The 14,244-nt window shown below is 49.2% G+C and overlaps 1 protein-coding gene across 2 annotated transcripts in view, besides 1 other annotated feature; it reads left to right on the top strand.

The window, feature by feature from the left end:
• PITPNA (phosphatidylinositol transfer protein alpha) overlaps positions 1 to 14,244 on the top strand; it is a 45,075-nt gene that overhangs the window by 12,351 nt on the left and 18,480 nt on the right. For both annotated transcript variants that reach the window (NM_006224.4, XM_047436299.1), the window contains exons 4-7: positions 2,055 to 2,146; positions 7,415 to 7,422; positions 8,802 to 8,876; positions 11,490 to 11,573. In NM_006224.4, coding sequence (NP_006215.1) covers positions 2,055 to 2,146; positions 7,415 to 7,422; positions 8,802 to 8,876; positions 11,490 to 11,573 — 259 coding nt within the window. The remainder of the gene's footprint in view (positions 1 to 2,054; positions 2,147 to 7,414; positions 7,423 to 8,801; positions 8,877 to 11,489; positions 11,574 to 14,244) is intronic.
• Positions 7,498 to 8,258: an enhancer, noted in NCBI's record as "NANOG-H3K4me1 hESC enhancer chr17:1445478-1446238 (GRCh37/hg19 assembly coordinates)". NCBI's record gives its function as "activates a minimal SCP1, AML or CMV promoter by ChIP-STARR-seq in naive and primed H9 embryonic stem cells {active_cell/tissue: H9 hESC(naive and primed)}" and the evidence as "EXISTENCE:reporter gene assay evidence [ECO:0000049][PMID:30033119]".

Below are 14,244 nucleotides of genomic sequence, written 5' to 3'. Positions count from 1 at the left end.
AGCTTTTCCCACCCCACTCCCATCTGTCTCTTAGCTTAGCCCCACTCATTGTCCCATGTGTTGGTTCATCCTGACTTTCCTCGCAGAGCCTGCCCGGTGCACTGCATGTCCCCCACTGTGTTCTCACAGCACTCCGCCACCCAGGGCCCTGTGCCCACCGCATTATGGCATGAACTTACAGTGTTGTGCTTGGCCTTGTCTAGTTACACGCCCCAGTAGACCGGAAACTCCTTGAGGGTGGGAGCCACATCTGTTTGGTTTCTCTGTGTGTCCCCCTGCCTGGACCTAGAAATACTCGCCTGAATGGGGATGGCAGTGAGTTCGTGAATCACAGAGGCCGCCCCAAGTGCTCCAGGTTAGCTCTCTGCTCTAGTTTGCTCTTCTTTCTTAGGCCTGAGGCACTAAAGCTGATGAGGTTGCCAGAGCTTGCCAAAGACTGGACAGATTATCTGTTAGAAACCAAGGACGGCTGGGCGCGGTGGCTCACGCCTGTAATCCCCGCACTTTAGGAGGCTGAGGCAGGCAGATTGCCCGAGGTCAGGAGTTCGAGACCAGCCTGGCCTACATGACAAAACCCCATCTCTACCAAAAATACAAAAATTAGCTGGGCGTGGTGGCGCATGCCTGTAGTCCCAGCTACTTAGGAGGCTGAGGAAGGAGGATTGCTGGAACCCAGGAGATGGAGGAAGCAATGAGCTGAGGTCGTGCCACTGCACTCCAGCCTGGCGACAGAGCAAGGCTCCATCTCAAAAAACAAAAACAAACAAAAAAAAGGAAAAGGAATATATGTACCATTTTCATTTTAATTTTAAAAAATCTTTCTAGGCCAGGCACGGTGGCTCACGCCACTGTAATCTCAGCACTTTGGGAGGCTGAGGCGGGCAGATCATGAGCTCAGGAGATTGAGACCATCCTGTCTAACATGGCGAAACCCTGTCTTTACTAAAAATACAAAAAATTAGCCGGGCGTGGTGGCGGGAACCTGTAGTCCCTTCTACTCGGGAGGCTGAGGCAGGAGAATCTCTTGAACCTGGGAGGAGGAGCTTGCAGTGAGCCAAGATCGAGCCACTACACTCCAGCTTGGGTGACACAGCAAGACTGTCTCAAAAAAAAAAAAAAAATTCTAAATGTTTTCCTACTCCGTCAAACCACACACCTACCAAAAAAAAAAAAAAAAGCAGGGGGCTTATACTGTACATGTTGTTCTGTAACCTGAGATAAGAATTGAGTAGAAGAGACCGGGCGCGGTGGCTCATGCCTGTAATCCCAGCACCGTGGGAGGCCAAGGTGGGTGGATCACGAGGTCAGGAGTTCAAGACCAGCCTGGCCAACATGGTGAAACCCTGTCTCTACTAAAAATACAAAAATTAGCTGGGCGTGGTGGCGCATGCCTGTAATCCCAGCTACTCAAGAGGCTGAGGCGGGAGAATCGCTTGAACTGGGACCCTGGAGGTGGAGGTTGCAGTTACCCGAGATCGCAGCACTGCACTCCAGCCTGGGCGACAAAGGGAGACTCCGTCTCAAACAAACAAACAAAAAAAAAGAATTGAGTAGAAGAAAATACTTTGTCCTGGGAGGCAAATGGTTCTAGGCCCTCCTGGCCTCTCAGAGCTGATGAAAGCAGATCAGATAATCCTGGATCCCAAACCCAAGTTAGTCGGCTAGTTACCCTGGCCCTAAACCGAGACTGGTTCATGCTTGGAGGCATCTCCTTTGTGTTTTTCTCGCACCTTGTAGTATAATGCCCTGGGCCCAGCAAGCTCTGGAAAAATGTGTAATGCTGATGGAAGGGGTGATGAGCCACAGCAGGTAGCCTGGGGTCTCTTGTGTGGTCCTGTTTCTGGTGGCTGGTGGGGCACGTCGTGGGTGTGTGTTAGGAGCCAGCCAAGGTGGGGTGTCAGGCTCTCATACGTAACTTCTCACTCCCACCAGTAACCTGCTCATTGCATGGAAACTTGCTTGTCAGCTCCCCATGAAGAAGCTGGATCTGAAAAGCCTCTTGTCTCCTTTCTCTCTACCATTTCTCTTTATACCCCTTTTTTTCCCCGCTATAGCAAAGTACCCACGTTTGTTCGAATGCTGGCCCCAGAGGGAGCCCTGAATATACACGAGAAAGCCTGGAATGCTTACCCCTACTGCAGAACCGGTGAGTGCAGCCGGGGCCACGTCGGCCAGGCAGGGGCGGGCAGCAGAGCTGTGGGTCCCACCTGCGTGTTCCGGATTAGGCCAGGGAAAGGCTCGGGCTGGGTCCCTTCCGGCTGATGGTGGGTATCAGTGCTGTGTCCAGCACAGCTTGGTGGACAGCAGGGCGAGAAGCACCGGTCGTCACGGCCTGAGAGCACAGAGCCAGTCTCTCACTTGGGGATGCTGCGATTTTGATTATTGTTATTCATTATAACATTTTAGTATATTTTTCTAGTCATTTTTATTTATTTATTTATTTTTTGGGAGATGGAGTCTCGCTCTGTTGCCCAGACTGGAGCACAGTGGCGTGATCTCGGCTCACTGCAACCTCTGGCTCCCGGGTTCAAGCAATTCTGCTGCCTCAGCCTCCCGAGTAGCTGGGACTACAGGCGCATACCGCCACGCCTGGCTAATTTTTTGTATTGTAGTAGAGACAGAGTTTCACCATGTTGCCCAGGCTGGTCTCGACCTCCTGACCTCAGGTTATCCGCCCACCTTGGCCTCCCAAAGTGCTGGGATTATAGGTGTGAGCCACTGTGCCCAGCCCAGACACATTTTCTCGAAAAATTTTAGATCATTACTATTTATTTTATTATTATTTTTTTTTTGAGATGGAGCCTGGCTCTGTTGCCTAGGCTGGAGAGCAATGGCACAATCTTGGCTCACTGCAAACTCCGCCTCCTGGGTTCAAGCGATTCTCGTGCCCCAGCCATACAAGTAGCTGGAATTACAGGCATACACCACCATGCCCGGCTAATTTTTGTATTTTTAGTAGAGACGGTGTTTCACCATGTTGGCCAGGCTGGTCTCGAACTCCTGACTTCAAGTGATCCACCTGCCTCGGCCTCCCAGAATGCTGGGATTACTAATATGATTACTAATTTTTTAATTGCTTTTTTTGTCTCACTCTGTTGTCCAGGCTGGTGTCCAGTGGCACAACCACAGCTCACTGCAGCCTTAACCTCCCAGGCTCAAGTGATCCTTCTGCCTCAGCCTCCCAAATACCTGGGACTATAGGCATATGCCATCATGTCCGGCTAGGTTTTTTTTTTTTTTTTTTTGGAGAGATGGGGTCTCACCATGTTGCCCAGGCTGGTTTCAAATTCCTGGGCTCAAGCGATCCTCCCACCTTGGCCTCCCAAAGTGCTGGCATTACAGGCATGAGCCACTGTGCCTGGCCTAAGTTTCTCATTTTTCTTCAGTGAATGGATAACATTTTCCTTGTCACTAAGGTGTCTGGTGTTTTGTTTTGTTTTGTTTTTTAATTTATAATAGCTGCATAGTATTCCATCATATGAATGAACTGTGGCTTCTGCTGAAACAGCATGTTCTGTAATTGAGGATACAGGTATAATTATTTTCTTAATCTTGGCCAGTCTCCTGCATAGAGTTTCTTGAAAGGAAAGGAAAGATTTGAACCTCCACAGAGAACTTTCTATTCTAGTCCAGACATTCTTAAATTTCTTTCGAGTGATTCAGATTCTTAGCCTTCCAAGATTCCTAGGTTTCCAGGGCCATCTAGGAATAGACCTGTTGGGAGGGCCTAAGCTGGTACTGATTCATAACCCTGGGGAGTCCTGAGAGGTCCCCTGGCACTTGTCTGTGAGGTAGGTGACCTTTCCTCCCACCAGCCTCCATGTGTGGGTACAGACAGTGTTGGGCTGCGGGGTCCTCCCACCAGCCTCTGCTGACCTGTCCTCCTGCACTTGCTTTCTTTGTTGGCACCTGGTACTCCCTAGAGTCTGATGAGTCTGGGATCCTTACGTGACGCATATCACCCTTATCCTGTGGACTTTGGGAATGACTGCAATCCAGAATACGGGGTCATTGCTCTTTCCAACCCTCAGTGGCCCCACACAGGTTCAGGGACCTTGTATCAGGAGATTTGCGGTCATTGGTGGGGTCTGGGATGTGTAACCCTTAGAGTTTTCTTGCTGTAGCTGAAGCACAGCCCTCCCTACTCCTTAAGCACTGGGCTGGAAGTTAGATTCTTGGAAATGAGGGATGCACAGATGTTCTTAAAAGACAGGGTCGGGCACGGTGGCTCATGCCTGTAATCCTAGCACTTTGAGAGGCTGAGGCAGGCGGATTACTTGAGGTCAGGAGTTCAAGACCGGCCTGGCTAACTTGGTGAAACCCCGTTTCTACTAAAAATACAAAAAGTTATCCGGGCATGGTGGTGCATGCCTGTAACCCCAGCTACTTGGGAGGCTGAGGCAGGAGAATCGCTTGAACCTGGGAGGCGGAGGTTACAGTGAGCCGAGATCGTGCCATTCCACTCCAGCTTGGACAACAAGAGCAAAACTCCGTTTATTAAAAAAAAAAAAAAAAAAAAAAAAAGGCAGTATGCAGTGTGGCTGGGTGTGTCTGGTCTAGGGCCAAAGGTGGATTTTCTTGATGTCTAAGAGAGTCGCAGTGAGCATGTGTTGCAAGTGTGGACATCTCCCTGCCTGGGGCAGGGTTCTGGGTACACAGCTTGTGCCAACTGAGAGATGCCCCTGTTCTCTGTGTCATTCTGGGAAGAGTGTTGCGGCTGACATGGGCATTTTTCTGCACGTTAAATGTTCATATATTGATCCTTGGCCAAAAGAAAAGAAAAACATAATTTCTGTATCAGCACCATGCGCTAACCAATTGCGCCACTGGAGCTCCACTGGAAAAATGTAATTTCTAAATATTTCATGGAGACAGGGAGTAGGGGAAGGAAGGTTGGTTTCCTCAGTGGGTGCTGACCTCCTATTCAGGATACACCTTCACACAGAATGGATATGTTGAATCTTAGATCTGTTTAGTTAGACACTTGCTCTTTTAAAATAAGAGATACCAGCAGGCAAGGAAGGCTACTTTCCAGTTCCCTCTGGGGGCTGATGGGAGAGAGGTTATTAGTTCAGACATCTTAGCTTGGCCTCAGTAGATCCAAGTTTGAAGGAAGATAGATGAAGGAGCATGAAGTAAAATGCCTCATGGCTTTTGGAAGGCTCTTCCTTTCTCTGAGCGGAGTGAAAACAGATTGGGACACCCTGGTAATGATCAGCTCTTGCTGTTCTTAGCTTGTTTCCCTCTCTCTTTTTCCCTTGAAGCTGATGGGATGGGCTGGAAGTGAGGAGAGGGTAAGATAGGAGTTGGTCTGTGAATGAATGAAAGTGGGAAAAGGAAAAGAAAGTTTGTTTCTCCTTCCATCTCTTCCTGGAACTATAGTCCTCGGCTGGATACAGTATCACTAAGCCATGCTTTTATTTATTTATTTTAAATTTTTTTATTTTTTGAGACAGAGTCTCATTCTGTCACCCAGGCTGGAGTACAGTGGTGCAATCTCGGCTCACTGCAACCTCCGCCTGCTAGGTTTAAGCAATTCTCCTGCCTCAGCCTCCCAACAGACAGTGTTGGGCTGTGGGGTCCTCCTCCTGTCAGCCTCCATGTGTGGGTACAGTGCCTGGGATTACAGGCATGCGCCACCACACCCGGCTAATTTTTATATTTTTAGTAGAAACGAGGTTTCACCATGTTGGCCAAGCTGGTCTCGAACTCCTGACCTCAGGTGATCCGCCCGCCTTGGCCTCCCAAAGTGCTGGGATTCCAGGCGGGAGCCACCGTGCCCGGCCCTGCCATGCATTTAAAATGCCTTATTAGTCTCATTTGGAAATCTCTGCTCTCCCACTGCAAAAGATTTCCTGCGGCTTTTCTGTGTACTTTGGGTTACAGTTTGAACAACAGGGAATACTGGAATGCAGAGGTGTTTGAGGGCCTGGGAGGGCTGGAGAAGGTTTGGGGAGGATTGTTTGATCACCCAAGTTTGCATGAAAAGGTCAGCAAGGGCTGTCACCCTCATGATTTCGGAAAACCAGGTTGTCAGAACTGAGTGGATCTGTCTCTCGGGGTCTCACAAAGATGAATGTGTAAAAACCCCAGCGCCAGTCTATGAAGTTACACTAAAACGCAGAATTGCTACCGAAACGGGACATTCCCATTCGATGATCAGGGCATTCTTTTCTTGTGGATTCTTCTACATGAGAAACCAAATTATAATCAGAATGCCAATGTGTGGCAAAGAATGTCCGCTTGGCTGAGTGATCAGATTCTTGGGTCCATTGATGAGCACGTCTCGGAGAGGCCGAACTAGGAGAGACTTTCTTAGAGGAGATAGATTCAAAAAAGGTGCTTAGTTGGAGAAGTTTAGTGGCTGGTGTCATCAGACCAGGCCATCCTGGCACTGCTGCCCCCACTCCAGGGATGGCGCTGCCAGAGATGCCACATGCGGGGGCTGGGCCTCCGGGGCCCACCACGGCACAGGAGAATTTCTGCTGACGAGATACTATACCCATGATTTCCTTTTCTTATTCTAACGTGGTTTTCTTGAAGCTGCTAACAGGGCAGTTACTTCAGTGTAGGCCTTTCAGTTGTAATCTTAATCTGGTGCTTCCTTCTAAGTGTCTTTCGTTGGGTATGGGGGAATTACTGACAGTCTTTTGGGTTATTTCTGTGCGTGATAGCTCTTACTCTTTATATTTCAACTTTGCCTCATTTTGTGCTCCGGGGTCACCTTAACTTCAGTTCTGGAGTTTGTTACCCCACACACTCTACAAACATGGCAGTGGGGCAGCCAGCAGAAGTGGACATAGGTCCTAAATTCAGAGGGTACAGAATGAACCGGGCGGTCTCAGGAGCAGAGCTAGTCTGTTCCCCAGTGACATGAGAGGTGCAGTCATTTTCTCTGATAAATAATTGAACCATGCTTTCTAAGGGGTTCCCATTACAATGAGCAGGAGTGCAGAGCCTGGGAGGTTTGATTACAGCGAGAGGAAGGGTGCAGGAGGCAGATACAGTGCATGGCCAAAGCACCCTGCTCTGTGCCCCGGGAGGTAGAGGCTGGGGTAGGGGTGGGAGGCGCCGGAGAACGCTCTGATGCCAGAGTGATGAGTTGCGGCACCTCTGCTGATCAGAGCTGGTCCCTGTCAGTGCCCTGCTGAAAAGAATCCCAAGAAGCCCATAGCGGCGTCGCTTTAATTAAATTCCCTGTTTGGTTTTTTGGGATGTTTGTCTGAGTGAAATTTGAGGGTTGGTGCGTTAAGGTATTTCTGACTCACTGGGGCTTGGAGGTGACCGTGGAATAAGCCACAGGGAGTAAAGTACACTCTGCCATTCGTCCTCCTTGTGGGGGGTGGGGGGCAGATATTTCTTCATCTTCATTAATCTTTTTCTCTCTTCTTTCCATGTCCTTGCCTCGGAGCAGTTATTACAGTAAGTATTGTCAAGGGGGTTGGAACTGTAGATGATGTATAAGAACAGGAGAGAGAAAAATGTAACTGCACTGGTGGTCTTGGGTGTTCTTTCCCTTGGCTGATGTTTGGAGTTGCTGAGGCTCAGTCCTGTCAGTGGACTAACAAGGAACCTGTTAACTGGCATGATGACCTCCTGCTTTAAGCTGCATTGGCCTGCGGCTCCATTAAGTGCATCCTGGCTGTGGGTCTGACATGGACACAGTGGCTCGAGGCCCTGCCTCCCCAGGTCACACCTTTTCAAGGTTGTAGAGAGAGCTCCATTCAACTGACCTGACCGACATCCCTTCCCCATCTGTGCATCTGTTGAGTCCACTGAGCACTGATCCTTGGCAAAGTCGTGAAGTCAGCGGGGTTTCTCTTCCACAGCCGTCCCCTCTGTCATTGCCCACCCGCCCACCATTCAGCACACTCATCTGAGTGCCTTGTCCCTGCCGGTAAACACTGGCTGTCTCTGGGAAACTGGTTCCTGCTGAGGCGTTAATGGGTGAATGTGTTCCTCCTTTGAGAAGTTCCAATTTTTAAGAAGCAGGAAGGGAGGGAGGGAGGCAATAATTAGCTTGAAGGGTTCAGTTACTGAGAAGAAAACTTAAGGCCTTAGCCACAGGCTAGTTGGAGGGAAAGGGGCCATGGTGAGTATCTTCGATGGGTTAGGAAGTCTTCTGTGCTCTTTCCACACTGCTTACTACCCAGAGTGGCTAAATGCATGGATTCTGAAGTCAGACGAAACTGTTTTGAGACCCAACTCTGTCGTGATCTCTGTGACTTTTTTTTTTTTTTCGAAACGGAGTCTTGCTGTTGTTTCCTAGACTGGAGTGCAGTGGTGCAATCTCGGCTCCCTGCAGCTTCTGCCTCCTGGGTTCAGGCGATTCTCCTGCCTCAGCCTCCCGAGTAGCTGGGATTACAGGCACCCGCCACCATGCCTGGATAATTTTTGTATTTTTAGTAGAGACGGGTTTCACCACTGTTGGCCAGACTGGTCTCGATCTTGTGACCTCAAGTGATCCGCCCGCCTCGGCCTCCCAAAGTGCTGAGATGACAGGCGTGAGCCACCATGCCTGGCCCGATCTCTGTGACTTTGGTTAAGTCACCTAACCTCTTTGAACCTCATCTGTAAAATGAGGGTGATTCTACAGAGCTCTCAGGCTGGGGTGAGGATTGAATGGGATAATACATGCCTAGTGTGTCGTGGGCTCCCAGTCAAGTTAACTGTTATTACAAGGCAGAGGCTGGAATCTCCTAGCTGCCCATGATCCAGTAATGCCCATCTCCAGTAATGGGAGATGGTTACTCTCAACTGTGAACCTAGTGACTTTCATGTATTTTTTTTCCTTCTTCCAGAATGAGTACATGAAAGAAGACTTTCTGATTAAAATTGAAACCTGGCACAAACCAGATCTTGGCACGCAGGAGAATGTGAGTAGTAGTTCCCAAAAGCCCCAGGGGTGAGGTCTTGAGTCTCTGCCTTGTAGCCTCTCCAGGGCTACCATGGGGTCCTCTCTGTGGTCCTCTTTTGCCTGGCCGGGAAGGCAGTGGCCTCTGCCTAGACCTATCTTACCAGCATGGGATTGCTATGTCTCTGATTTGCAAAATGTGATCTCCGGAACTTTTTATGGGGCCTTCTCGTACTGCTTGGATTGGTGCAGTTCCTGGTACATGGGAGCTATATCTTTAAAAGACCAAAATTACAGTTTTCTATAGAGCACAATTTGCAGTAACTCCCAAAAAATAAAATACACCTATCCTTTAGCATTTCCATGCCCAAGAATTTAGACAGTTATTTTCACATGTGTGAAATAACATATATACAAGGAGACTCATTGCAGTCTTCTTTGTGTAGCCAAAGATCAAAAACAATGTAAGACCATCCTGGGCAACATAACAAGACTCTGTCTCTACCAAAAATAAAAAAAGAATTAGCTGGGCATGGTGGTATGTGCCTGTGGTCCCAGCCACTCTGGAGGCCGAGGCTGGAGGATCATTTGAGGCTGGGAAGTCAAGGCTGCAGTGAGCTGTGACTGCACCACCACACTCCAGCCTGGGCAACAGAGTGACACCCTGTCTCCAAAAACAAAAAAACAACATAAGAGCCCGTTAGACCGGGTGCGGTGGCTCACGCCTGTAATCCCAGCACTTTGGGAGGCCGAGGCAGGCGGATCACGAGGTCAGGAGATCGAGACCATCCTGGCTAACACGGTGAAACCCTGTCCCTACTAAAAATACAAAACAGCCAGGCTTCATGGCGGGCACCTGTAGTCCCAGCTACTCAGGAGGCTGAGGCAGGAGAATGGCGTGAACCCGGGAGTCGAAGCTTGCAGTGAGCCGAGATCACGCCACTGTACTCCAACTTGGGTGACAGAGCGAGACACTGTCTTAAAAAAAAAAAAAGAGAAAAAAAAGGCCCGTTAGTAGGACAACGTTAAATGCATTGTGGTTCAGCCAAATAGTGACATCCTTGCAGCCATGGAAAAACCAATAGAGAGCAGTCTTCAAGTTGACTGTTCAGTGAAGGATGGAAGTTATGAAACAAGGTGTGTGCATGCCGCCCTTCATATTAAAAGAAAAATCCACGCACATGGATGTTTGTATGTAGGATCTCTTAGAGGTGGCTGTTACTAGACTGGGGACGAGGGACAAGCAAGAAGAGGAGTTACTCTAGTTACTCTATATTGTATCCTTTTGTAATTTTGAATTTGTGTCATAATTTTGTATTATGTGCATGTACAGCCTGATCAAAATAATCAGCATGTTGCTAAACAGACGCCATCTCTAGAAGGGTTTACAGTCTTTACAGCGGGTCAGCATGTTGCTAAACAGACACCATCTCTAGAAGGGTTTACAGTCTGTACAGCCGGGAACACATGGAAATGGTGTGGGCACCGTAAACATCCGGAAGGCGTTTTGACCTGCAGAAGTGACGTTTACCCTCAATAGTCAGAGCATTCGTTCTCAGTCATGTCACTTAAAATCCAGCGGGGGCTGGGCGGGAGGCCAAGGCGGGTGGAACACTTGAAGTCAGTAGTTTGAGATCAGCCTGGCCAACATGGTGAAACCCTGTTTCTACTAAAAATACAAAAATTAGCTGGGCGTGGTAGCCCACGCCTGTAATCCCAGATACTCGGGAAGCTGAGGTAGGATAATCGCTTGAACCCGGGAGGCAGAGTTTGCAGTGAGCCGAGATCGCGCCATTGCACTCCAGCCTGGGCGTCGCAGCAAGACTCCATCTCAGACAAACAGACAATCCAGCTGGGTTCAGTGTTGTGCACCTATAGTCCCAGCTCCTCAGGAGGCTGAGACAGGAGGATCACTCAGGCCCAGCTCCTCAGGAGGCTGAGACAGGAGGATCACTCGGGCCCAGCTCCTCAGGAGGCTGTGACAGGAGGATTGCTCGGGCCCAGCTCCTCAGGAGGCTGAGACGGGAGGATCACTCGGGCCCAGCTCTTCAGGAGGCTGTAACAGGAGGATCACTCAGGCCCAGGCAGGAGACTGAGAGAGGAGGATCACTCAGGCCCAGCTCCTCAGGAGGCTGTGACAGGAGGATCACTAGGGCCCAGCTCCTCAGGAGGCTGTGACAGGAGGATCACTCGGGCCCAGCTCCTCAGGAGGCTGTGACAGGAGGATCACTCGGGCCCAGCTCCTCAGGAGACTGAGACAGGAGGATCACTCGGGCCTAGGCAGGAGGCTGAGACAGTAGGATCCCTCGGTCCCAGGCAGGAGGCTGAGGCAGGAGGATCACTAGGAGCCTGAGGCAGGAGGATCACTCCGGCCCAGGAGTTCATGCTAGAGTGTGCTGTGATCACTCCTGTGGATAGCCATTGCCTGAGAAACACGGTGAGACCCCATCTCTTAAAAAAAAAAATCCATTCTCCCATTTCTTTGGATAATTTTGTATGTAATTGTATAATTACTTATCATTAGGAATCTTACATCTGTGGCTATGGGAATGGCAGTTCCTAGGTGTCCATTCTGGCTAAAGGATATTTTATAACTGACAAAAACTGCATAGTGGTTCCCCACTTGTTCCCACAGGTGCATAAGCTGGAGCCTGAGGCGTGGAAACACGTGGAAGCCGTATATATAGACATTGCAGATCGAAGCCAAGTGCTCAGCAAGGTAGGATCCGTTTAAAGACGTGGGTGGCCTTCGAGACGCAGAAATGACTTCTCAATGCTAAAGAAACCAGGAAACCATACCCAACTTGGCACAAAAGGAAATTCTGATGTGTCTTGCTTGTTTTATTTTTAAAAGTGAGTATTAGGAGATTTCTTGTCTTGAGTTGGGGATGCCACCAGAAAATTAGTGGCCCAAATTTGTGTGCCCTGTTTGGCCTCTGAAAATTATTACTGGACTAAGTAGGTATTGTAGCTAGAGTATTTTGCCCTGCTAAAATGATGCTTAGCCTGAAAAATCGGAGCACCACTTCTCAAATTTATTTTTCCAACTCAGTAATTAAAAAAACATTTACTTCCTGCCTACTGGGTTGTGGAATATTGTCAGGATCTCTGGGTTCCAGGTGAGGGATGCAGAATGCAGGGAAAGACAGGTCCCCTGCCCTCCAGAAGTCGGTGGCGCCTTTTCAGAGTAACACACACTGGAGCAGACCCCTGGAAAAGGACAGTCCACTGGTGGACCATGACCTTGGTCAAAAGAGGGACCAGGTCTGGCTTGCTCACTGTTTTGCACCCAAGAAGTATTTGCTCAGGGAATGAGGGGGTTAGATTCCTCCTCATTCATTACCATTCTTACTAGGCAGAGGCCTCATTGGGATTAAAAGACAGGAATGTAACTCTCTGCCCACTGATAGGGAATGTGTGTTTGCTCTTTGTATCCCAGGGGTGTGATACCTCTTTCCTGTGGTCACTCTGCACTTAAGATATTTTGGGGCCTGGCACGGTGGCTCACGCCTGTAGTTCCAACACTTTGGGAGGCCAAGGTGACCGATCATCTGAGGTCCTGAGTTCGAGACCATCCTGCCCAACATGGTGAAACCCCATCTCTACTAAAAATACAAAAATTAGCCAGGCCTGGTGGTACGTGCCTGTAATCCCAGCTACTTGGGAGGCTGAGGCAAGAGAATCGCTTGAACCCGGGAGGCAGAGGTTGCAGTGAGCAGAGATCACACCATCGCACTCCAGCCTGGGCGACACAGCGAGACTCCATCTCACACACACACACACACAAAGTTATTTTGATTTGTGCATTTCCGAAAAGATATAAAAACCATCTTGTGCTTCCTTGCCCAATATCCCAACCCCCACCTTCAAAACGTTGGTGGATTTTTCAAAAAGCTTTTTATGGAAGTTTAACATATACAGCAAAGTGAATATAAGTATGCAGCTTGATGAATTTTCTCAAACTGGATACTAGCAAAAAGTATGATTCTTTGAGTATTTTGTCAACTCTGGTTGATCTGTGTGAGTGGAGGGAAGCAGTGATGGTGAATATTTATTTTTTAAAGCACACATAAATATAATCTCCTCAGAGGCTGGGCACATTGGCTCACGCCTGTAATCCCAGCACTTTGGGAGACCGAGGCAGGCATATCACTTGAGGTCAGGAGTTTGAGACCAGCTTGGCCAACATGGTGAAACCCCGTCTCTACTAAAAATACAAAATTAGGGCCAGGTGCGGTGGCTCACACCTGTAATCCCGGCACTTTGGGACGCCAAGGTGGGCAGATCACGAGGTCAAGAGATCGAGACCATCCTGGCCAACATGGTGAAACCCTGTCTCTACTAAAAATACAACAGATTAGCCAGGCGTGGTGGCAGGTGCCTGTAATCCCAGCTACTTAGGAGACTGAGGCAGGAGAATCGCTTGAACCCAGGAGGCGGAGGTTGCAGTGAGCCGAGATCATGCCTTTGCACCAGCCTGGGCAAAAAGAGTGAAACTGTGTCAAAAAAAAAAAATACAAAATTAGCTGGGCGTGGTGGCGCATGCCTATAATTCCAGCTACTTGGGAGGCTGAGGCAGGAGGATCACTGGAACTCAGGAGGCGGAGGTTCCATTGAGCTGAGATTGTGCCACTGCACTTCATCCTGGGCGACAGAGCGAAACTCTATCTGAAAAAAAAAAAAAAAAAAAAAATCGGCCGGACATAGTGACTCATGCCTGTAATCCCAGCACTTTGGGAGGCTGAGGCATGTGGATCACCTGAGGTCAGGAGCTTGAGACCAGCCTGGCCAACATGGTGAAACCCCGTCTCTACAAAAATACAAAAATTACCCTGGCGTGGTCGCAGGCGCCTGTAATGCCAGCTACTCAGGAGGCTGAGGCAGGAGAATCGCTTGAACCCAGGAGGTGGAAGTTGCAGTGAGCTGAGATCGTGCCACTGCACTCCAGCCTGGCCAACAGAGTGAGATGCTGTCTCAAAAAAATAAAATAAAAAAATAAGGCAGGGCGCGGTGGCTCACGCCTGTAATCCCAGCACTGTGGGAGGCCAAGGTGGGCGGATCACGAGGTCAGGAGATCGAGACCATCCTGGCTAACACGGTGAAACCCCGTCTCTACTAAAAATACAAAAAAAATTAGCCGGGCATGGTGGCGGGCACCTGTCGTCCCAGTTGCTGGGGAGGCTGAGGCAGGAGAATGGCGTGAACTTGGGAGATGGAGCTTGCAGTGAGCCGAGATCGCGCTACTGCACTCCAGCCTGGCCAACAGAGCGAGACTCCCTCTCAAAAAAAAAAGAAAAAAAAAAAAAACTTCTCAGCTTTGGGAAATACTTTATGAGAGAGAGAAATTTATTATCTTTGTTATTTTTGTTAAGTAGATGCTATAAGTTTGT

The sequence above is a fragment of the Homo sapiens genome, chromosome 17 (genome assembly GCF_000001405.40).
Source record: "Homo sapiens chromosome 17, GRCh38.p14 Primary Assembly".
Classification (NCBI taxonomy): domain Eukaryota; kingdom Metazoa; phylum Chordata; class Mammalia; order Primates; family Hominidae; genus Homo; species Homo sapiens.
Note: the sequence above shows the minus strand (reverse complement) of the source record. Positions and strands in the feature narration are given on the sequence as shown.